The sequence below is a fragment of the Homo sapiens genome, chromosome X (assembly GCF_000001405.40).
Source record: "Homo sapiens chromosome X, GRCh38.p14 Primary Assembly".
NCBI lineage: Eukaryota > Metazoa > Chordata > Mammalia > Primates > Hominidae > Homo > Homo sapiens.
Window position 1 is genome coordinate 133583463 of NC_000023.11, and position 24153 is coordinate 133607615.

General features: G+C 39.9%; 1 protein-coding gene across 4 annotated transcripts in view; it reads right to left on the reverse strand.

Annotated features, from left to right (window-relative positions):
• The window catches only part of GPC3 (glypican 3), a 449850-nt gene that overhangs the window by 47718 nt on the left and 377979 nt on the right, over nucleotides 1–24153 (reverse strand). For all 4 annotated transcript variants that reach the window (NM_001164619.2, NM_001164618.2, NM_004484.4 and 1 more), the window contains one exon: nucleotides 12978–13137. In NM_001164619.2, the coding sequence (NP_001158091.1) occupies nucleotides 12978–13137 (160 nt within the window). The remainder of the gene's footprint in view (nucleotides 1–12977; nucleotides 13138–24153) is intronic.

The window sequence follows — 24153 nt, forward strand, 5'->3', positions numbered from 1 at the left end:
CAAGCAATTCTCCCACCTCAGCCTCCTGAGTAGCTGGGTTTACAGGTGTGTGCCACCATGCCTGGCTAATTTTTGTATTTTTAGTAGAGACGGGATGTTGCCATGTTAGCCAGGCTGGTCTCAAACTCCTGGCCTCAAGTGATCTGCCTGCCTCGGCCTCCCAAAGTGGTGGGACTACACATGTGAGCCACTGCACTTGGCCTGATATGCTTATTTATTCTCTAGTCAAATACCTTCAAAGTCAGGAAGCTGATTGTTTCTCAGGGCAATCCATTCAATTGAGGAATAGCTCAAAGAGATAGTTCATCTTTCTGTTAGCCAAAATATGTCTCCTTGTAAATGTCATGCATTGGCTCCAGATCTACTCTCCTCTTCCATATGCAAGACTTCTTACTATTAGAAGACAACATTCATATCTTCCTAATCCTTCTCTCATGTAGACTGAACACTGTTACTTCTTTTCACCATCCTCCCACTGTCCCTGTGTGCAGAATCTTCCCCATCTGTCTGTCTCTTCTCAAGATGCACAGGAGGCTACAAACACCCTATGTTTCACATGCCGTGCCTTCCCCCACTCAGCTGAGTCCTTACTCCTGTGTTGACTGGAACAGGAATCTCAGATCTCTTTGCTCACAAATACGGCTGCTAAAAGTTGAGGATACTTTGAGGAAGCTAGTTTAAGATGCAATGAAGGTGAAGCACACTGTTGCCCTATTGAATATGGGACCAAAGGAAGCAAATGTGAAAAGTAAATATTACAAATCCATAACTGAATATTTACTAAATACGTACTGAGAGTCACTGAGCAGCATGGAGGGAAGGAGAATAGGTGATTGAGAACTGTGAAGTGTATACACAGGATGAAAAATACTTGCTTTCGACCCTCCAAGGAGTTCACTGTTATTTGGAGAACGACTCTTCTCTGAAGCTCATCCTGAATGTGCTCATGAGATTTCCTCCTGCTCTAACCTAGACTGTCCTCGGAAACCTGAATTTGTAGAATAGCCTCTACTCCATTTTTGTTTTTTCTTTTTAAAACAGATTCTCACTCTGTCACCCAGGCCGAAGTGCAGTGGCACGATCTCAGCTCACTGCAACCTCCACCTTCCAGGTTCAAGCGATTCTCATGCCTCACCCTCCCGAGTAGCTGGGATGACAGGTGCGCACCACCATGCCCGTATAATTTTTGGATTTTTGGCAGAGACGGGGTTTCACCATGTTGCTCAGGCTAGTCTTGAACTCCTATGCTCAAGTAATCCATCCACCTTGGCCTCCCAAGCTGCTGGGATTATAGGTGTGAGCCACTGTGCCTGGCCTTCTACTCCATTTTTATTTACTTGGTAATTATATTACTGCTTCAGTCCACCAATGAGCTACAAATTAAAAGATTCTGTCTGTGCTGGTGCTCGTGTTCTCACCTTAAAAGCTTATTTACCATCAGACATTCACATTAGGATTATAAAAAGCCAAAAAAAAAAAAAAAACAAAAAAACAAAAAACAGACTAAAAGGCACTTTTTAAAAAACTCAGCAAGTATATTTGGAAATGATAAGAATCATTAAACATCTTTTAGGCAGGTGTGTACACAGGCAAGATCTATAACAAGGTTTCCCTTCAGAAAAATTAACCACACAAAAACTTGCCAGTAACTTCGTTCCTACCAGTGCGAATGGGAAATGTCCTTGTACCCGACAGACAAATAAAGAGGGGAGGTGATGGCTGCATCTTTGTTCTTTTTGCCGTGCTAGAAAAACCTAAAGGACTGCACTGTCTGAATTGGAGAGATTTGACAGCACATGCGTGCACATGTGCACAGTTTAAGGGGCCTTATGGAAAGTCAACAATTGGAGGGCATTGGATGGCTCCACATCCCTCCCCTTCTCCGAGCAGGACCTCAGCCCTCACTTTATTCCCGATCTCTACCTGCAGCCACTAGGACTATCCACACTAGATCTTTTCAGCTTCTGTCTCACTCTGCACGCTCACGATTCCTTGTTTCTGATTTGAACCCCCTAGGAGATCATTGTTTATCATGGAAACTTTGGACAACAGCACAGGTTTAATCAGACATCTCCACATTTCTCTCTTTCTGCTATGCTATTTCTTCTTGCAGGGGAGCACTTTCCTTTTGCTGGCATGTAAGTCTGCACTCCCAGATCCCTCGGGGATGTTATCCTACAGGGACTGCTTCACTTCTGTTTGGCAACCCAGCGAGAGGCTTCAGGCTTGCCACTTTCCTGCTAGATCCTTCTCTACTTTCCCACCAGCTGAATGCTGAACCTCTCCATCCCTTTCCTTTCTACCAATACTTGGCTAAATTACCACATTTTAGTTGAGGCTGTCATAAAACTGGCCAACATGGCTTCTGTCCAGAGAAAATCAATTGCACCACTTAGTCAAATTCATCTGTTCAACAGTTTCCTCTTAATTTGAAGATTGATTAGAAAATATAATACAATGGCACTAAATTGCTCACAATATCCCTAATACTTACTCAATTCTTAGAGTTATGTGTAAGGCCTACCAGCAAGTACAACTTTTACAGCATTACTCCTGATAAAAGCCTTATAGCCTAATGGCTCAGATGGGAAAGTATCACAGCGCAGCACACCTAGAAAAGCAAATCTCAGAATATCTCCTTCCAAATAATAAGAAACAAACTCCCTAAGGTATCCTGAGTTATGATAACTTTACGGGAAGTTTTAACCTTTGCTCATTCTCATCTATCACCAGATTACCTATAGTAATTCCCTAGCCAACATTAAAGCATGGGGAAGGCCTCTTTCTTGGTATACCTACTCAATTGGCAGGTAATACCACTGCTAAAGCTCACATCTAAGTCCCCTTTGTGAGCCCTGGGAGCTTCGCAAAGCTCTAGGGTGAGCTGGGATTGGCTGTCTTGTCAATTGATTAGCGAGAACCACCTGGTCTATATCTGTGTGAAAAGTGTTATTATGGTGAGCTTTGCTTCCTTCAGCTTTCCTATGACATTTGATCTCTAAAAGAAAAGACCAAAACATGAAAGCAGATTGCTTGTAGCTCAGAGCGAGATAGAATGGAAAAAATCAGGGGCCCTTTCTTGACCCTTCCCAACTCGTTGTCCACCCATGCCCTTACCGCCCCACTAGCACCAAAGAAAACAAAACATAACTAGCTGTGATTCTTTCAAGATGTAAGTGACTACTATTGTTGTGACTATGTGGTTATTTGTACAACTCAGCCGACATATTTGTCATTGTTCAAATACCTTCTCACTTCAAACCACCCTGGGCTAAAAACAAGTTAATGAGTAATTAAAAATGCCACCTTTGGGAATGGGGATGATGGAGAACATCTTTTTTTTCAGAGATTCCTTCTTTTTTTATTTTTAACTGACATGTAATAATTGTATATATTTACGGGGTACATAGTGATGTTTTGATTCATATAATATATACTGATCAGATCAGGGTCATTAGCACATCCATCATCTCAAACACTTATCATTTCTTTGTGCTGGGAACATTCAATATCCTCCTTCTGGCTATTTGAAACTATATATTATTGTTAACTATAGTCATCCTACAGTGGTTCTAGAACACCAGAACTTATTCCTCTTATCTAGCTGCAATTTTGTATCCTTTGACATGTCTCTCCCTACCCCACCTCTGTTCTACTTTTTACTTCTATGAGATCAACTTTTTTTAGTTTTCATATACGAATGAGAACATGTGGTGTTTAACTTTTTGTTACCAGCTTATTTCAATTAACACAATGTCCTCCAGTTCCATTCACGTTACCTGGAATGACAGGATTGGCAACAGTTAAACTGGAATGACAGGATTTCCTTTTTTTTTACTCCACGGCGTACATATACACCATATTTTCTTTATGCATTCATCTGTTGTTGGAAACCAAGGTTGAGTCCATATTTTGGCCATTGTGAATAGTGTTGCACTAAACATGGGGGTGCAGATGTCTCTTCAATATATTGGTTTCCTTTCCTTTGAGTAAATGCCCAGTAGTGAGATTGCTGGATCATATGGTAGTTCTATTTGTAGTTTTTTGAGGAATCTCCACACTGTTCTTTATAGTAGCTGTACTAGTGTATATTGCCACCAACAGTGTATAAGAGTAGCACATTTATAATGAAAATTATTGGCTTGGACATTTGAAAATTATTGGCTTGGACATTTGGAACTTAGTTTAGTTTTATTCACCAAAAGCCTTTAGCTAAAATTATAATTTAAGTTATAACACTAAACAATATTAATAATATTATCCTAAATGGATATGATGCTTTAAAGTTTATAAAGTATGTTACATCCATTATCTCATGTGTTTCATTCAGCAACTTATGAGGTGGGTAGGTCAGGAAATATTTTATCACCATTTTTGCAAGTGAGGAAACTGTGGCTCAGAGGAACTGACTGACTTTGTCCAAGGTCACAACATTGGGAAGTGGCAGACACAGAACTGGGACCCAGTTTGTTTGACTCTGTAGAAGTGACGCCCTTCCCTTTAGATCTCAAACTTCAACAGTCTAAGGGTAAGAAGGTGTCTCATTTGCCCAACAGATGGGATCTCCCTCCCAGTGGATGACGTGGGGTCGCTTGCACTGAGGTCACATGTTGGAGGGGCTGATATCCCAAGAAATGAGTTTGGAGGCAGTCACTACAAGATCTTGCCTGAGAGTTCCAGGGGTGGCTTACTTAGCAGGAAGCAATCTACAACTTACGTGACAAAGATCTGAATGGTGCATTTCCAAAGAGCACAAAGGAAGGGGAATTGGGATACTCACACTATAAAATACATTTTGGTAAAACTGCCATAATTTATTCCTGGACTTGTTACCAACAGGGTAGTATAAATAGATATATTACTGTATCTAATGTATTCCGAGTTCTGCATAGGACCTAACAACTTTCCCATTTAAAAAAACAAAAAACAAACAAACAAACAAAAAAACCCAGGACATTTCATTTCCCTACAAGCTTTCTACTCACTTTTCAGCAGGCAACATGATTTGTTCTAAATCATTAATATTTTGCAGTTGTCACTCATGATAAAAGGCCTATCATAAATTTCCAATGACCCTTTTCACCAGACCACTCTATTAATGAATTTATTAATGCAAAATGACTACCAGCCTACGTTTATGAAGGTTTGACTTGACACTTTAGAAGAACACTTAAGCCATTGAGGTGTCCTTCACCTTTCCTATGTGTGCAGGCTTATTAGGAGTAGAAGTGTAAGATTACACTTGATCCAGTAAAAATAAATAAATAAATAAATAAAAATAAAGATCATTGGCTTATGAAAATATTTCCTAATTGCTGTTTTACTTGAGATCGTCGTTATTTTGTGTTCAGATTATAAAGTAACTATAAAAAGGGAATATATGCTACAGACAGCTAAAATAATAAGTTATAATCCAATGATACTAAATAATACTAATAATATTACCCTAAATGGGGCTCACAGCTGTGAAATCTTAAAGGCTTCCTCCACAGTACTGCTGGGACGAAGTGACTAGCCAGGGGCAGACCACTGCTTTCCCCCATAGCACTTGGAGATGACAACAGAAGAATGGCAAAAGGGACCAGTCACCCCATGTCAAGCAACAAGTGGCAGGTTTTCTCTTTGCAGTCCCCACACTGACATCTGAGAGACTGAAAGTTTCCTGAAGGCAAGCATTTCTATGAGAAATATCTGTGTACCAAGGGCAATAAACAGCCATTTGCTTTTAGTATTGATGATATTGTTTGGCTGTATCCCCACCCAAATCTCATCTAGAATTGTAGCTCCCATAACTGCCACGTGTTGTGAGAGGGACCCTGCGGGAGGTAATTGAATCATGGTGGCAGTTTCCCCCATACCGTTCTTGTGGTAGTGAATAAGTCTCATGAGATCTGATGGTTTTATTTATGTATTTACTTATTTTATTTTTTTGAGATGGAGTCTCACTCTTGTTGTCCAGGCTGGAGTGCAATGGTGCAATCTCGGCTCACTGCAACCTCCGCCTCCCAGGTTCAAGCCATTCTCCTCCCTCAGCCTCCCGAGGAGCTGGGATTACAGGCATGCACCACCACACCTGGCTAATTTTGTATTTTTAGTAGAGGCGGGGTTTCTCCATGTTGGTCAGGCTGGTCTTGAACTCCCGACTTCAGGTTATCTGCCCACCTTGGCTTCCCAAAGTGCTGGTGTGCCTTTGCTCTCCCTTCATCTTCTGCCATGGTTGTGAGTCCTCCCCAGCCATGTGGAACCGTGAGTCCATTAAACCTGTTTCCTTTATAAATTACCCCATCTCTCATATGTCTTTATCAGCAGCACGAGAACAGACTAATACAATCGGTTTAAGCCCTAAGCCCAAGATGTTTTCTGCTCCTGTGCTAGTTTGCTGTATCTCCACTTTTTAGAAACAGAAGCAGGCTGAGAGAGATGAAGTATCCCACTGCTATGGTTTGATGAATGTTTGTGCCCCATCCAAAATTCATGTTGAAACTTAATGCCCCCGGCAATGCAACAGTATGAAGAGGTGGGGCTTTTAGGAGGTGATTAGGCCATGAGAGCTCTGCCCTCATGGAGGGAATTAGTCCCTTATAAAAGGGCTGGAGAGAACTAGATAGGCTCCTTTCTGCCTTTCCATCTCTTCTGCCATGTGAGGACACAGCATCTGTCCCTTTTTTGCCCTTTTGCCTTCCCCCAGGTGAGGACACAGCATTTGTTCCGTCTGCAACATGAGGATGCAGGAAGAAGGCATTCACCAGACACCAAATGCTGGCACCTTCATCTCGGACTTCCCAGCCACCAGAACTGTAAGTATAACTTACTAGAATGTATAAATTGTTCAGTCTAAGGTATTTTGTTATAGCAGTGCAAATGGACTAGGACACGCACCAAAAGGGAAATACATTACCCTTGGTTCTGAGAAGTGCGAGGAACAGGCGAAGATGTAACCATGGGTAAGACATCATGTAATGGTCATCCCACCAACAATTAAATTCAACAATCAGAAAGAAGAAGACTCTAAGGATTCTATGTAAAATTTATAAATAAGAAATAAGGAAAAAGAGAATACTTAGGGAACTTTGAGGTGAATAATTTTATAAATGAATATACCCCAGAAAGCCTGGAAACTACTAAAACCTTCTTATTATTAGGTTGGCGCAAAATTAATTGTGGTTTTTGCCATTACTTTTAATAGCATCCTAATGCAAAAATGTGTTGAAGACCACATGTGGGGAGCCCTTGGTAAGAAGCCCAGCTTGCCAGATTGGTGGAAAAGTCAAAGGGGTTAGAATGGGGAAAATGAGATCTTTTCTATATAGAACTATAGCTCAAGAGAAGAGAACAGAGAACCTGCAAGGTCAGATGAAAACTTACAAGAAGATGTCCTCAAAAGACTCTGATAAGCACCTTGCCAGGGATCAAAGCCAAAGAAATGAACATAATCACAGACTGCTGGCACTGGAATGCCCTGCAAGACTTGTGTGTACACTCCCTCTATTTCACAAATGGAGAAACTGACTTTTCAAAAGTGGAAGGGGCTCGCTTTAGGACATACGGGAGAAGCAAAGCCAGGAACAGAACCTGCGTGTCCTGCACTTCATTCAGTGCCTCAAAAGAAGGGAAGAAGTAAGCCAGGGAAGCCAGCCGATAGAGCTACTTGCTGGTCATGTCGCAAAAGGTCTGTTCAGGGACAAAAGGGAGATACAAGAGAGTCTTAACATATTCCGAGCCATGCTCTTTATTCCCAAGTTGTATTTTGGAGGAGGCAATTTGGAGGGCTAAATGAAATGGTGGTGAACGTGCATGGTGTTCCAAGTCTAGCTGACTAAATAAATGGATGCTGATGAATCATCAGGACCAGATGGCATCTATCCAAATTTTAGGTAAAATTGTATAACAGCTGACCAAAGCATATAGCCTGTCATTCCAAATAGCTATTATGCCAAATAGCTATTGTACCATGAGCCTGGCAGATTGGCAATGAGTCTCCTCTCCATGAGAAGCATTTTTAAAGGGGGGCCCAAGGAACTTCAGGCTGGTAGGATCACTGAATATGTTAGGCAAGTGTAATGTATTGGGGGCTAGGCATCATTTTTCCTCTCAATTAAATTAACCACCATTTATCTAATGTTTTACAGTTTATAAAGAACTTAGTGTTAATCATGCCTAACAAATTGACTAGAATTCTTTTACACGATAAATGTGTATGTGGACAAAGGGAAACCATGGATGTAATCTATTTAGATTTTGAAAAGGCCCTTGACAAGATCCCATGCCAAACACTGTTTTAACAAGTTAAGTCACCATGGAATTGTGGAGCAGTGCCTTGAAATGGATAAGGAAGTGGCTTATAGTCAGGAAAGCACAAGTAGGAATAAGCATAGACTTTTCTGGAGAAGTATGAACAGCGGTATGTCTCAGGGATCAGTGCTGGGACCAGGCAACATTTTGGTAAGTTGTCTGGGCAACTTTAGATGACCACAACTTTTCCAGGTAGCAAAATGCAAAGCTGACTTTGATCTTTTTATAGTTGTGTTGATGATCAGAGAAAAAAGAGTCAGAGTAGGCTTGTTCAAGGAGTGGCCTCTGAAACCAGACTTCTTGGCTCTGAATCCTGACTCTGCCCTTTGTGAATGTGACTTTAAGCAAGCCACTCCACCTCCTCCTGCATAATTTTCTTTTTTATTATACTTTAAGTTCTAGGGTACATGTGCACAACGTGCAGGTTTGTTACATATGTATACATGTGCCATGTTGGTGTGCTGCACCCGTTAACTGGTCATTTACATTAGGTATATCTCCTAATGCTATCCCTCCCCCCTCCCCCCTCCCCCCACCCCAGGACAGGCCCCTGTGTGTGATATTCCCCGCCCTGTGTCCAAGTGTTCTCGTTGTTCAATTCCCACTATGAGTGAGAACACCTCCAGTATAAATTTTCTCATCTGTAAAGTGAGAATAGTAATGACCCCTACCTCATAGTGGTATTGTGAAAATGATATGAGACAATGCATGCCAAGCTCTGGCACAGTGTTTAGAGCATAATAAGTGTCCAATGAACATTAGCTTCTCTTATTTTTACTTTTCATGTTTATTCAACATTCTTCTAATAGGTTGCCAGGCTCTGAGTGGTCACTTTATGTCCTATGGAACCTGGGAGCCATTGTAGACTGTTTCATGAAAGCACTGGCAGAATTCATTTTAGTAATGAATTCAGAGGACAGAGGTAACTATGGACTGAGATGGCTATGAAAGATTTCATGGAGAGAAAGTAACAATTATGGAACACCTAGCATATGCTAGATACTTGCCTAGATGTTTTATAAATGTTCCCCCTCGATTTAATAGTCCTATAAAGTTGGGGTTATGATCCCCATTTAATGGATGACAGAATGGAGACATAGAGGGGAGGCTAAGAAACTTGTCCCAGATCATGCTTGCTCATAAGTAGAGCAAGAATTTAAATAAACATTTGTCCTACCCCAAGACCTATTTTCTTTTCACTGCATCACACTTGAATTGCACCTTGAAGGATGGGTAAAATTTAAGATGAAAGAAAAAAAGGTCAATCTCTATAGAAATAAAATGGGCAGGCCGGGCACTGGGGGCTCATGCCTGTAATCCCAGCACTTTGGGAGGCCGAGGCAGGCGGGGATCACACGAGGTCAGGAGTTCGAGACCAGCCTGGCCAACATGGCAAAACCCTGTCTCTACTAAAAATACAAAAATTAGCTGGGCGTGGTTGTGTGCACCTGTAATCCCAGCTACTCAGGAGGCTGAGGCAGGGAGAATCACTTGAACCCGGGAGACAGAGGTTTCAGTGAGCCAAGATTGTGTCACTGCACTCACTCCAGCCTGGGCAACACAGTGAGACTGTCTCAAAAAAAAAAAAAAAAAAAAAAGTAAAAAAAAAAAAAAAAAGAAATAAACATAGGCAGTGGTGGGAAAACAGAAACAAGAACAGTATGTTTATGGGGTTCATGGAGCATGAATATGGCTGTTCTCACCAAAGTGGAGGGTGCTTACGGGGGCTAGTGGTGGGAAATGAAGCCAGAAGGGTAGTTGAGGCTAGACCAGAAGACCCTCAGAACTCTACTAAGGAGTCTTAGCTTTATCCTCAAGGCATGAAGACAGCTGAGCTGCGGAGAAAGTATGAAATGCCTTCAAAAGATTAACCAGGTAGCTATGCAAGATGAATTTGATGGAATCTTCTGCCTGGGTCTCAAATTCTTTGTCCTCTAATCTACTAGCCTAAGGCTCTCAATACTCCTGCCTGAGCCTAGAAGCCTGGAGACCACCTACGATGTGTCTGCAATAGTATGTGCAGGAGGGTGTGAAGGGGGGAATAGAAAGGAAGGATTGGGCTGGGCGTAGTGACTCACGCCTGTAATCCCAGCACTGTGGGAGGCTGAGGTGGGTGGATCACCTGAGGTCAGGGGTTTGAGACCAGCCTGGCCAACATGGATAAACCCCGTCTCTACCAAAAATACAAAAAACTAGTTGGGCATAGTGGTGCACACCTGTAGTCCCAGCTACTTGGGAGGTTGAGGCAGGAAAATTGCTTGAACCTGGGAGGTGGAGGTTGCAGTGAGCTGAGACTGCGCCACTGCACTCCAGCCTGGGCAACAAGAGCCAAACTCCATCTCAAAAAAAACAAAAACAAAAAACAAAAAAGTATTAACAGAAGCAGAATAAATTACAAAGAAAGAATCGACAGGGATTGGGGGCCTAATTGCATTTAAGGGCAAGAGAGAAGAAGCAAAGATGGCTTTAGGTTTAAGCCTCAGTGATCAGGAGAATGATGGTCAGTTGATAAATCTGACTTGTGACACATCACGCTGGGGGTGGTGGTGGTGAAGTCAGAAATGATTAATAAGCAGCTGGAGATGTGGGATGGTAGGAGAGCAGTTGAGACTCGTGGTAATGACTTTATGTAAGTTATTTCCCACAGTGTTATAATAGTTAAAGAATGTTCATTGTAGGATTATCCACAACAGCCAAGAGGTGGAAGCAATCTACATGTCCACTGATGGATGAATGGATAAAAAAGTGTGGTACATACATACAATGGAATATTACTCAGTCTTAAAAAGAAGGAAATCTTGTCACATGCTACAACATGGATGAACCTTGAGAAAATTATGCTAAGTGAAATAAACCAGTCACAGAAGGACAAATAGTGCATGATTCCATCATATATGAGGTGTCTAAAGTAGTCACAGAAGCAGAAAGTAAAATGGTGGTTGCTAAGGGCTGGGGGAGGGAAAAATAAGGAGTTGCTGTTCAATGGACATAGAGTTTTAGGCACACAAGATGAAAATGTTCTAGAGATCTGTTGCACAACAATGTGCATATAATTAACAGTATTGTACTGTACACTTAAAAGTTTAAGAGGGCAGATTCCATGTTAGTTTTTTTTTTTACCCTAATAAAAAATAAATAAATCATAAAAAAAAGTTGAGGCCAGCCATGGTGGCTCACACCTATAATCCCAGCACTTTGGGAAGTTGAGGTGAGAGGATCACTTGAGCCCAAGAGTTTGAGGCTGCAGTGAGGTGTGAAAGCGCCATTGCACTCCAGCCTAGGGGACAGAGAGAGACCCTATCTCAAAAAGGAAGAAAAAGTCAAAAGAGGGAGAGTAGATAAGATCTGCATTCTTTCTGGAGAAGAGAGAAAAGACAGAGGCTTAAGAAGGGACATCCGGATAATAGCCAGTTTCAGGTAGGATTAGGAAGAAGAACTAAGAAGGAAAGAGGCTGCCAGAGAAATAGGAACATTTAGCATCTCAGAGGCCATGGGTGATAGGGTTTTAAGGAGAAGGCTGTGCACCACAGAGGAAAGAGAATGGCAGTGGAAGTCTCAAGACCCGAGGTAGATTTCTAGTTCTTCCATATAGAGCAATCTCATTTCTTCTCTGAGCCCTGGTTTTAATTACCTGTAAAATCAAAGAACACCTATCCACATGAAAGTACTCTAAACTGTGATATGGAATACAAATTTAAGGAATTTTTGTTGTTGTTTTGCCTCCTTGACCCCAGCAGTACTATATTACTTTTTTCTATTGCTCTTGTTGTTTAGTTATTATTATTTTTTTTACTGAGACAGACTCTGGCTCTGTCTCCCAGGCTGGAGCACAGTGGCAGAATCTCAGCTCACTACAACCACTGCCTCCTGGACTGAAGCAATCCTCCCAAGTAGCTGGGACAATAGGCGTACCACCACACCCTGCTAATTTTTGTATTTTTGTAGAGACAGGATTTCATCATGTTGCCCAGGCTGGTCTGGAACTCCTGGGCTCAGGTGATTCTCCCACCTCAGCCTCCTAAATTGCTGCGATTACAAGCATGAACAACCGTGCCCTACCACTCTTGTCTTTATGTAGGTCTTCAGTCATATGCCATAGCCTATCTATGTTAGACTGCTTGTGAGAAAACAAAATAGACATAACGTCCTAAGAAAAGAAGGTCAGCTAATGGCTCTTCCTTTGAAAGTTATCTCACCAGTGGTTTTCAGAAGACTTCCAAGGTTGCATTTCTTTTTTTTGTTTGTTTGTTTTTAACTTTTGTTTTAAGTTCAGGGGTACATGTCTAGGTTTGTTATATAGGTAAACTTGTGTCATGGGGGTTTATGGTACAGGTTATTTCATCCCAAATTTGCATTTCTTATTATGCATTTCTTTTTATAAATGAGAAGAACCAAGGAAAACTCCAATGAGAAACAGAGCCAACTGATTAGGTCAGTTCATTTTAGATAATGAAAAACAGGAAGTTACCCTTTTAATCTACCAAAGGTTGGAAATGGTGGGAGGAAAAGAAGGAGGCTACCTGAGAACTTCACTTTCTAGAGCTTGTATAGTCTTTCCTTGAAGAGTTGATGAGATTGTGTGTTGCAGGGAATGTAAGGGAATTGCAGACAGCGGGTTCAATTTATTTTTAATTCCTGAGCATCACCATTTTTAGATTACATTTGGGTCAGCACTAATCAGTTACCTGCAAGGAAGCGGAGCTGATTCTTCACTTTTATCATTCCATCACCAGAGCCTCCAATGCACTCATCTTCATCATCACCGCAGTCTCCACTTTCAAACCCTTCCTCATCCAGGTTTTTATCCAGAACTCTACCTTTGGGCATAGACATGGTTCTCAGGAGCTGAAAGAAAACAACCAGGAATGCATCAGCTCTTCATATTTCTCAGGTGGGTCTGCACAGTGTGTTATTAACAGGAGGCATTAAAAATGTTCAATGAATTACACAGAAGCTGTAAAAAATCACTTTCAAATTTACGTAGGTGTAAACTGCTTATACTCTTTAGAGTTTCAGACTTCTGAACCTTTCCATAGCATTTGATGTGATGGTCTACTCCTTGACTCTACTTACATCATGCAGTAGCCAGAGTGTATATTGCATTAGATCTTCTCATACCATGGTATTTAAGCTCCTGAAAGTCTCCATGATACAATTCACTGATGAGGAACTTAAGACATGATAAGGCAAAGCTAAGAGGACACCAAGACCAGAAAAGATCCCTATGGAAGCCCCCAATAATCAAATTTACAGTCACTAAATTAAAACCACAAAATGCTTCCTACCAAATGAGGAGAATAGCAGTGCCATTTTATACACATGTACAATGACTACTTACAATCAATCATCATTATATATGCCTTGATCACTAGAAAAATTGTTCATTATTCTCCTCTCCCGCAATTCCAATAAGATGCTTTTAAATTTATTTTGCTTTATTGTAGATAATATGCACACTAAGAGACATGTTTGTTTCACTCTGCGGTGTCTGGCTTTTCAGTCACATGGCCAATGCATTACGAATTTCACGGGACTCCCGCCTTTCAAAAGCCTCTCCACTGACCCAGAGACCCAGCACACCGCACGAAGGGTCCCTGAGGGCCGTTGTCAGATTCCATCTTATTTTTCCTTGCCATCTCTCTCCAAGGCTTCATTCTCATATTCTGTTTTTGTCCTGGCTTCTTCCCCATCACCCATTTCTCATCCTAAATCTTAGATCCAACCCCTACTTTTAAAAGACAGCCAACAAAAGATTCTGGATATACAGAAACTGAGATCTTTGTGATTGTGGAAGAGGTATCCAGAAAGAAAAATTGCTGCAAACACAAGCTGGGGTTTCTGCGGTTTCCATCGTCCCTATGTTTATGTCATGGCTAAGTATACTTTTATGTTCTCCACCTGTGATTTAGCTGCCACCCTGAGATCTACTTGGAAAGAGCTACATACTACAGAGAAATGTGATTCTGCAGGTGGTTTTTACGTTTTTATTTTTATTTTTTAGCAAAGAAAGGAAAGTCCCAAAGAGATTTTTGTTTTTGTTTTTGTTTTTTTTCCTGGCCAACAACCTCTAATGGTATTGGAGAAGCCAATCTACCAACTGTCTCCCACTCCAGCACCACGTTCACCCTGCCACTTCCGCTGCTGCTCATCATACACAACTACATTTATATTATATATAAATACAGGCTAAGATGAGCTAGATTAGTGGTTCTCAAACTTCTTGGTCTCAGGACTCCTTTATACTTGCTGAGAACCATAGAGTTTATATAAGTTATTTTTGTTTATACAAGTTATATCTATCAACATTTGCCATCTTAGAAATTATAACTGAGAAATTTTAAAAATATTTATTTGATAGCTTCTATAAACATAACAAGAATGAACCCATGATGTGACATAAACATTTCTTTTTTTTTGACACAGGGTCTGGATCCATCACCCAGGTGGGGGTGCAGTGGCATGATCATGGCTCACTGCAGCCTCAACCTCGCAGGCTCAAGCAATCCTCCCACCTCAGCTTCCTAAGTAGCTGGGACTACAGGTGTGTGACACCATCCCCAGCTAATTTTTTTTTTTTTTTTTACTTTTTGTAGAGGCAAGGTCTCACTATGTTGCCCAGGCTAAAACACAAACATTTTTGAATGACAAACATATTTTCCCAGACATAAGATAATTCATAGGAAGAGTGGCACTATTTAACAGTTTTATAAATCTCTTTGATGTCCAGCTTAATATAAGACAGCTGGATTATCAAATCTGCTTCTCCACTCAATCTGCTGTGATATATGGTTTTGGTTGAAACATTTGCAGTTAATCCAACCTCCCACAGATATGTCATGGGAAAAGAGAGAAGTATTTTAGCAGACTTTTCAGATAATTGTGGAGATTTTTCTTTGATACTACATTAAAAACTCAACAAGTAGTTAGTTGCAGTGTGGAATATGAAACTATATAAATAAATATATCATATCCTGTTACATTTACATCCATTGGTATGTTTTGAACTTTGAACACGCATTTTACTCATTTTGTATCATCATCCATGGGTCATCTGGAAAATACTGGCTCACTGAGCAATGCAGGTCTTCCCAATGTCAACACCTTTCATTATGTGATATAAAAAATCACATTTGTTAATATTATCTCCAATCTCATCTGAAAAGTCTTTAAGTTTTGGGAAGCTCTCAAGCTCACAGTGGCAGATAAAAGTTTAAAACAATTTTTGGTTTTCTATTGAAAGCCTGAATTTTATTATTGGCAATAAATACTGCCAGTTGTTTTCCCTGAACTGACAGGCTCTCTTTGTTCCTTTCCAAGAAAATGTCTAGCAAGTATTTAAGTCTGCATAACTATAGTTTGTCAGTCATTCTCTCAAGTAAAAATGAAACAGGAAGCTCACAGCTCAAATTTCTCACAAGTGCTTTTTCTTGAGATGCACATTGACATGGTTTACTGTGTAAATACTTTCAGTGTACTTCCCATTTTATAACACGGAATCTTTTAAAAGTGCAAGAGATGAGGTTTAATAAAATTAGTAACTTTTTACAGACTCAGCAATGATATCCTTAAGTAAAACTGCCCTTTATTTTTCTGCAAGTACACACCAGTGATGAATACAATGACTACTAGTACATTTTGGTGCTATTGGCTTAATTCATCCTGTGGTGTCTTGATTCATACTGTGGCATCGAAGAGTTGTACTTGCCACTGCTTTTGAACCATTGTGCAAATATCAACACAGGGGAAAAGACAAATAACATCTTAGTACTGTTGTGCAAGTAGTTTTAACCTTGTGGATCCCTGGATTTCTTGGATTCCCAGGATCCATAAACCATTCTTTGAGAACTGCTAATCTAGCCTATAACATCACTTCAGTTTCACCAAAACCCCCAATGCCCTCCTTTATCATTATGTCTTATGAGAAATTTGCTTTCGATATAAGCATTTTTATGTTAATTTTCAAGAATGCATCTTTTGTGTACATCATGGAATACCTGAATGATAATTTTTCACATAAGTAGAATTATGTTTAGATATAGATTAGTGAACTTGCTATTTCTCAAGCACACCTTGCATCTGTCCCTTTCATTAACACCTTCAGTACACATTCATTGAGAATGTACTATGAGCTGTTCTTCATTTGTGTCTGTTCAAAGTCCTCCATACTTTCAAGCCAAGTTCTAACGCCATGTCATTAATAAAGCTTTCCTGGTAGACAGTCATTATAGCTCTCCCTCTCCCTCTTCTACCACTGTTCCCTTTATCTGTACCTCCTAAATGCCACTTTCTGTATGCAATCCGGTATTTGAACATATGACTTCTCTCCACCACCATCCTGTGAGCTGCCCAGGGGTTTAATCTTATATATCTTTGAACCCCAGAGCATTTAAGGCAGTGTCTAGCACATAGTAGGCACTCAATATATGTGCTATTGAACTGAAGCAAAATGAAGTGTTATGGTATCTTTAATTCTTTAAAAGCTATTTCCACAACCTTATGAAAAAGGAGAAAGTCAAGGCCCAGATTAATTATAGAAGAAGAATTTGTGAATGAGTAGCTAAACATTTTTGGAGGACCTTGGCTAAGACACATAGCTAATCTTTGAGAGACTGTTTCCAACCTGTGTGCAATGTCCCCACTATTCTTGAGTAGCTCAGTTTAAAACAAAGTGCAATTAAACAAAAACCCTTTAAAACTTTGCCAGTGAAGTTACTTCTTTAGGTATTAAATCACTCCCATTCTGGTGACAAATTCAGCATGGAAGAAGGATTATAGTAGACTTTTAAGCCATTTTACACAGACAGCCACTGATAAACCTAACCCTCACACATTAACAAAACAAACCCAAACCTAGAAATCTATTGTTAATGCGAAAATCTTAAAGAAGAGACTGAAGCTCCAGAGTGTTGAAAGAAGGGTAATGGGTCAGAGAGGAGGAATTGCCAGCAAGGAGTGGATTTAGGCAGCCTGGAATTTGGCCCAGAAATCCAATTGCTTAATTACAATTCACAATATTGACCTTTCTGTTCCCTCTCTCAGTCTTTCAGACTGAACACTAACTTTATGAAAAGAAAATTATGAGGGACTTACACACAAAAGCAGGTAACTTTAGGGGCCTAATGCTTTTGATTAACTGTTTGCCATTTTCAAAGGACACTGTCCTGTTAGCTTTTTAAAAGCCAAGGCACACAATAATGATTATCAATGTAAACGATCATATTAAAACCTACGTCTGAGTATTTCATTCCACTATCCCCATAGACATTCTGTTAACCTGACACTTCTGCTGTGCATTACTTTGAATACAGAGGATACCTTAGTGGAAGTGCACAAGGCCCTTCACATTCCAGCTTTTTCTACAGCCACTACTGTCTGTGCAACTCTGTTTTAGCCACTGAGACTATCACAGTTGCCTAAGCATACAATCAACTTTCTTTTAGAATCTAATATTTTAAATATGCAAGTATCAAATATAGAAACGTGAAAGGAAAAGAAACAAGGAAGAAAACCCCTAATTCCCAAACTTTAATAAACAATGTTTGTGTTTTCAAAGGTCAGCACTTTTTAATGCTTGTTTTTAAATTGAACTTGCATTTGGGAAGCAGATTGACTTGAGTTCGAACGCTACTTTTTCCACTTATTAAAACTGTATTTTCAGACAAGCTGCTTAATCTCCCTAAACCTCAGTGTCCTCATCTATAAAATGAGAGAAATAACGCCTGCCTCACAGAATTGTTGTAATAAGTAAATATGATAAATGTCATACTTTAAATGGGATGATGCATCTATCCATTAAGGGATCTATCAACATTTACTTAACCATTTTTCTAATATTGAATATTTGCATTGTTTCCTGTTATTTTGCTTTTATAAACAAAAATGTAATCATCAGGAACATTCACATAACTCTTTCCATATTTTGGATTATTTCCTTAGTAAAGATACTGGGTCAAAGGGTATGTACATACTTACACACTGTGGGAGTGATTCTCTAAATTCCATAAAAATCACCAGGATGCTTATTAAAAAATTAGCCTCGCTAAACTCTTATACATGTTGATAGGAATGTAAATTAGCACAAGCACTATGGAAAATAATATGGAGGTTTCTCAAAAAACTAGAAATAGAACTACCCTATGGTCCAGTAATCCCACTACTGGGTAGTTATTCAAAGGAAAAGAAATGAGTATATTGAAGAGATATCAGCACCCCCATGTTTATTGCAGCACTATTCACAATAGCCAAGATTTGGAATCAACCTATAATGTCTATCAACAGATGAATGGATGAAGAAAATGTGGTATATATACACAATGGAATAATATTTGGCCACAATAAATAATGAAATCCTGTTATTTGAGGCCATATGGATGAGCCTGGAGGACATTATGTTAAGTGAAATAAGTCAGGCATAGAAAGATAAATACCCCACATTCTCGCTCATATGTAGGAGCTAAAAAAAAGTTGAGCCCATAGAAGTAGAGAATAGTGGTTACTAGAGTCTGGGAAGGGGAGGATAGGGAGATATTAGCCAATAGATACAAAATTACAGCTAGATAGGAGGAATTAGTTCTAGTGTTCTATACCAGGGTCCCCATACTGCAGGAGGTGAGTAGCAGGTGAGCACCTGGGATCCTCCTTCTATCAGATCAGTGGCAGCATTAGATTCTCATAGGAATGGGAGCCCTATTATGAACTACACATGCAAAGGATCTAGGTGGCCCTCCTTATGAGAATCTAATGCCTGATGATCCGAGGTGGAACAGTTTCATTCTGAAACCATCACATCCCTGGTCCGTGGCAAAATTGTCTTCTACAAAACTGGTCCCTGGTGCCAAAAAGGTTGGGGACCACTGTTCTATACTACTGTAGGATGAATATGGTTAATAATAATTTATTGTATATTTTCTAAAAGCTAGAAGAGAGGATCTGAATGTCCACAACACAAATAATAAATGTTTGAGGTGATGGATATGCTAATTACCCTGATTTAATCACTACACATTGTATACACGTATTGAACTATCACTCTGTGTCCCATAAATATGTACAATTATGTGTCAACCAAAAATAAAAGGAAAAATAAAGAATTAAACATTTTTTAAGTTGAAAGGTATTTTATAGGAAAAACAAAAATATCTAAGATAATGCATGTTGTAGAAGTAATATTTAAATAACAAGTAATTCAATGTGTAGCCATAATTCCCCCAAACACCTAACAGAAACATAAGTTTTTTCGTGTACAAACAGTCTTGATGGCTTACATTTTTGTGTTGATATTGAGCTCTTGGCAATCATTCAATCATTCCTTTCCCAATTATATCCAGGTCAGCAATTTTGACAAAATAAATACAAATTGTGATTTCGAAAAAAATAAAAAGGCAAAAGTTAAAAAAAAAAAAAAAAGACACGCTCCCTGGCCCAATTCACTCACTGAGTTTCTGATTTGGTGAATCTGGGATGGGGCACACAGATCTGCATCTATTTTTTTTGAGCCGGGGTCTCACTATGTTGCCTAGGCTGGTCTCGAACTCCTGGGCTCAAGCAATCCTCTTGCCTCAGCTTCCTGAGTAGCTGGTACTACAGACACACGCCTAACTAGATCTGTCCCCCTCATCTTACTGTGAGTGAACCGCAGACCACTCCTTACTCTTTCAGAAAGGCTGCTCCAATGTTACTCTGCTTCCCAGAATCCCACTGAAACCATCTTTTGACAAGAGCCACCAGAGCACCATGCATGTTGGAATCCTTAGTAAACGCTCTTCAAACCATGTGTTTAAAAGTAAATATAATATGATGATTTCCTTTTCAGTTAGGTATGGATATCTTGACCTTTTGTCTTTGTAGTTACGGAAAATACCCTTGTATAAAGGTGATTGACTTCATTTGATTAGACAGGGAAACATTTAAAGTTAGCCTTGGAACAGGTACTCAGGGTTGTGTGATAAAAGGAAACAAAAAGCCTGGAATAATTACTTAAGAAAATTGGAAACACAATGAAAGGGAAAAAAGGGCTTTCTGAAGTACAGCAATTTCATATTTTTAAAGCCATAACCAATATAACAAAAGGGTATGGCAGCATGGGACAATGAGATTTGGCTGAAGCTCTTTTTGTGCTTGGTCCATGGGAGATCAAAGGACATATTTATTGTTCGGAGAGGGATCAAATATGTTGAAATTAGACCAGTGAGAGCAGCAAGTCTTGATCTGTCTATATGGTATAAATAATATGCCTCTTGGAATTGTCTTGATTGCAAAGATATGAAGCTTATCAGCCACACACTGTGCTGGGGTTTAACATATGTTCTCTCACATAATCCTCAATACTCTCCACCAGTTTGTATAACAGGGAAGACTGCCATCCCCATTTCTCACGTTAAGGGAAGACATTGAAGCTCAGTAACCTTACCAAGTTACTGAGTAAGTAATAGAGATCTCATTAACAGTAACATATTTGCCCCCCAGGTCCAGAACTCTTCAAAAGAAACATGTGTCTTAGGTAAAGACATCAACGAATGGGGCCTTCATTGTACATTTTTGCCATCTTTACTGCCTTTAGCTCAGATAATTTCCATTTCAATTCCATTTTCTCAGATGCTGGGCATTAACTATAACTTGATGGGAAAGCTTTTCACTATTGGGTGGGAGGACCAGAAGGGGGAGATAAGCACTGGGCATTGAACAACATTGGATGCTTTCTGCTTGCTTTCCCCAGGCTTGTCATCTACTGTGTTTTAAATAACCAAACTATCTCATCATGAACAGGTTTGTTTTGAAAAGCTTCAGACAGCTGGTTAGTACAGAATGAAAAATTCCATTACTGCTGCTACATGGCTAAGAGTTTGCTTGACTTTAAGCTCTTTAGCATTTAAAAAAAATAAAGGGATAAGTAACAAAATAGATACTGCAAATACGGGACTTGGTACATATTTTAAGGATTTAGCTGGTTTTATCTCTTTTGGCTACTCACATACTTTCTGTAGGCATTTTTTAATATCTGGAATCCAGGTTACATTTTAAAGCTATTAAGCTGGGCTTATAAAACTGATTTTGAACTATTTGGATGCTCAGCTTTATACAACCTGCAAAATGTGCTTTGGGGTCCTGGCTTTCCGTATCCACAGCAATGTAAACACATGCTTTACCGTTTGTATTTGAGTAGCATAAGCTAATGGAAAACAAATGTGGTGACTCCAATGAAGCCCAGCTTTTTTGGAATGCCATTATTATTTATACGTTGTGCACATCCACAAGGCCTAGCACGTGACCTGTGTTTTGCGTGCACACTCTCTTTGAACGAATGCACCAAACCACAGCCACAACTAATTGGAAACAATTGCAACTCCACACATTTGAGATAAAGCCAGAACCCAAATGTATAGGCCTAGAATTAATGGCTATATATGCACTTCACACGTGGGGGGGGGGCAATAAAGTATAGCAGTTAAGGGCATGAGCTTTGGAATCTGACCAGCATGGATGTGAATCCCTACTCAGCCTACTTACTAGCTGTGTGACTTTGGGCAAGTCACTTAAACTCTCTGAGTTTCACTTGCCTCACCTGTAAAATGGGGGATAATACTATTTATTATCTTCACAGGGCTGTTGAAATATTAAATAAAATAGCACCATTCACCTTTCATATAGTTCCATGTATTCTTCTTTTCTAGAACTTTCCACTGTTTGTAATTCTATATTCCCTGTTGCATCCCCACTAGACTAACAGAAGGGATAAAAGTGTGTTCGGTTCCCAGTGCCTAGCACAGTGTTTGGTACAAAGTAATGAACAGTAAATATTAAATGGATGAATGAACAAATAAATAGAATAATGCATGTAAAGTGCTTAGCACATTGCCTGGAAAGGTAATAAGTTATTGGACATGTTAACTCTTCTGCTCAGAATAACAATGATGATCTTGAAGAGGAAAAGAGGAGGAAGAGGGGTAGTAGTAGCAGCCATAGCAGCAGACATAAGAGCTTGTTACAAATACCTCCTAAGGCAAAAAAAAGTAATACTCCATGGCCACACACTGAAGCACTAGAAAGAAGCCTGGGTGGAATTTTTGTGGGTCTGGGAAAACCCTTCTGGATGCTCCCAGTAAGATAAGAGTCTGTGTACCAAGGATACACACAGAGATGTTTAATGACAAAGAAGAGAGACCTGCTAGAGGCTGTGCTTCCATATGGTATCAGCAAAGCTACCCACACCCACATATGTTCTTGCCTGGGCCTTGCTTCCACATCTGCCTCTGATCCACAGAACACACTTTCTCTACCACTTCCAGCTTTCCCAATTCTTACTTTATGGTTTGTGAATGCAGCAGTGAAACTTATGAAAATATGTCCCCCTGTTAAATGGACAGGAAACAAACAAACAATCAAAACACCAGGATGTGAAGAAGCCGACCCAGGATGGAATTAAATCCATTTCAGTGGGGCTCCTTCCCCAGTAGTAGAAATGGTTCTCTGTAGTTCTAAGAAACTGTCCGCTACCTCAAAGTGGAAAATTTCCAATAATATTACCAATAGCTTAGAAGTGTATAGGGTTTGATTCTTTTCCAAGAGGAGGCATAGCATGGTGGTTAAAGGTTCATACTCTGGAGTCAGAAAACTTGGATTCAAATTGACTCTATCCTTTACTAGCCTTGTTACTATAAATAAGCTATTATTTTATTTATTTTTTTTGAAACAGGGTCTTGCTCTGTTGCCCAGGCTGGAGTGTGGTGGAGTGATCACAGCTTACTGCAGCCTTGACCTCTTGGGCTAAAGCAATCCTCCTGCCTCAGCCTTCTGAGTAGCTAGGACTACAGGTGCATGCCACCATGCCTGAATACTTTTGAATTTTTTTTTGTAGAGACAGGGTCTCCCTATATTGCCCAGGCTGGTTTTGAACTCCTGGGCTCAAGTGATCCTCTCACCTTGGCCTCACAAAGTGCTTGGATTACAGGTGTGAGTCACTGTGCCCAGCCAACAAGTTATTCTTTAACCTCACTGAGTTCCATGTTTCTTCTCTATGAGTATAATAATACTTGTATCCATCTCCCACATTGTGTAATTATGGGGATTAAATGAGGTAATTTGTGTAAAGCACTGAGCTTAGTATCTGGTACACAGCATTCACAAAATATTAATATTATACATGAAAAACTATATATTTATAAAATCTGAATTTCCAAACAGGATAAATTCAGAATTTTTGGTATAGGTTAACATTCAGTTATGACCTGGGTAAGGCTAAATCTGGAGAACATGGTAAGCCCTCAATAAATCTTCATTATTGAGTCACAACTATTAGCATTTTATGATTTTTATAATTAAAAGCTGCTGTATCTGTTCTCTTAGTTGATCTATATGGGACCCCTGTGAGGCAGCAGGGCAGGTATTATTAGCCTCATTTTACAAATGAGGAAATGAGAGTCGAGAGAGATGTGGGGCAACATGTCCATTTTCAGCCTGAAAACTTTCCTCAGGGTAGCTAGTATAAAGTTGTTAGGATTTGGAATGGGGCCAGGAAGGAGGGGTTTTGAACTCCAGTATTAATCTGGAAAGGGCATAGCTCTGGGACTAGCACAATGCCTGACACATAGTGGGTGCTCAGGACATGTTTGGTAACTGAAAGAATGAATGAACCAATGGGTTAAGAAATTAGTAAGTAGCTTATTCACTGATTTTTTTTTTCTTTCTTTCTTTTTAATAGAGATGGGGGTCTCGCTATGTTGCCCAGGCTGGTCTGGGACTCCTGGGCTCAAGCAATCCTCCTGCCTTGACCTTACAAAGTTCTGGAATTACAGGCATGAGCCACTGTGCCAGCCCTATTCATTGACTTGATTTTTTTCCAACCTCTGTCCCTTTGACCAGTCT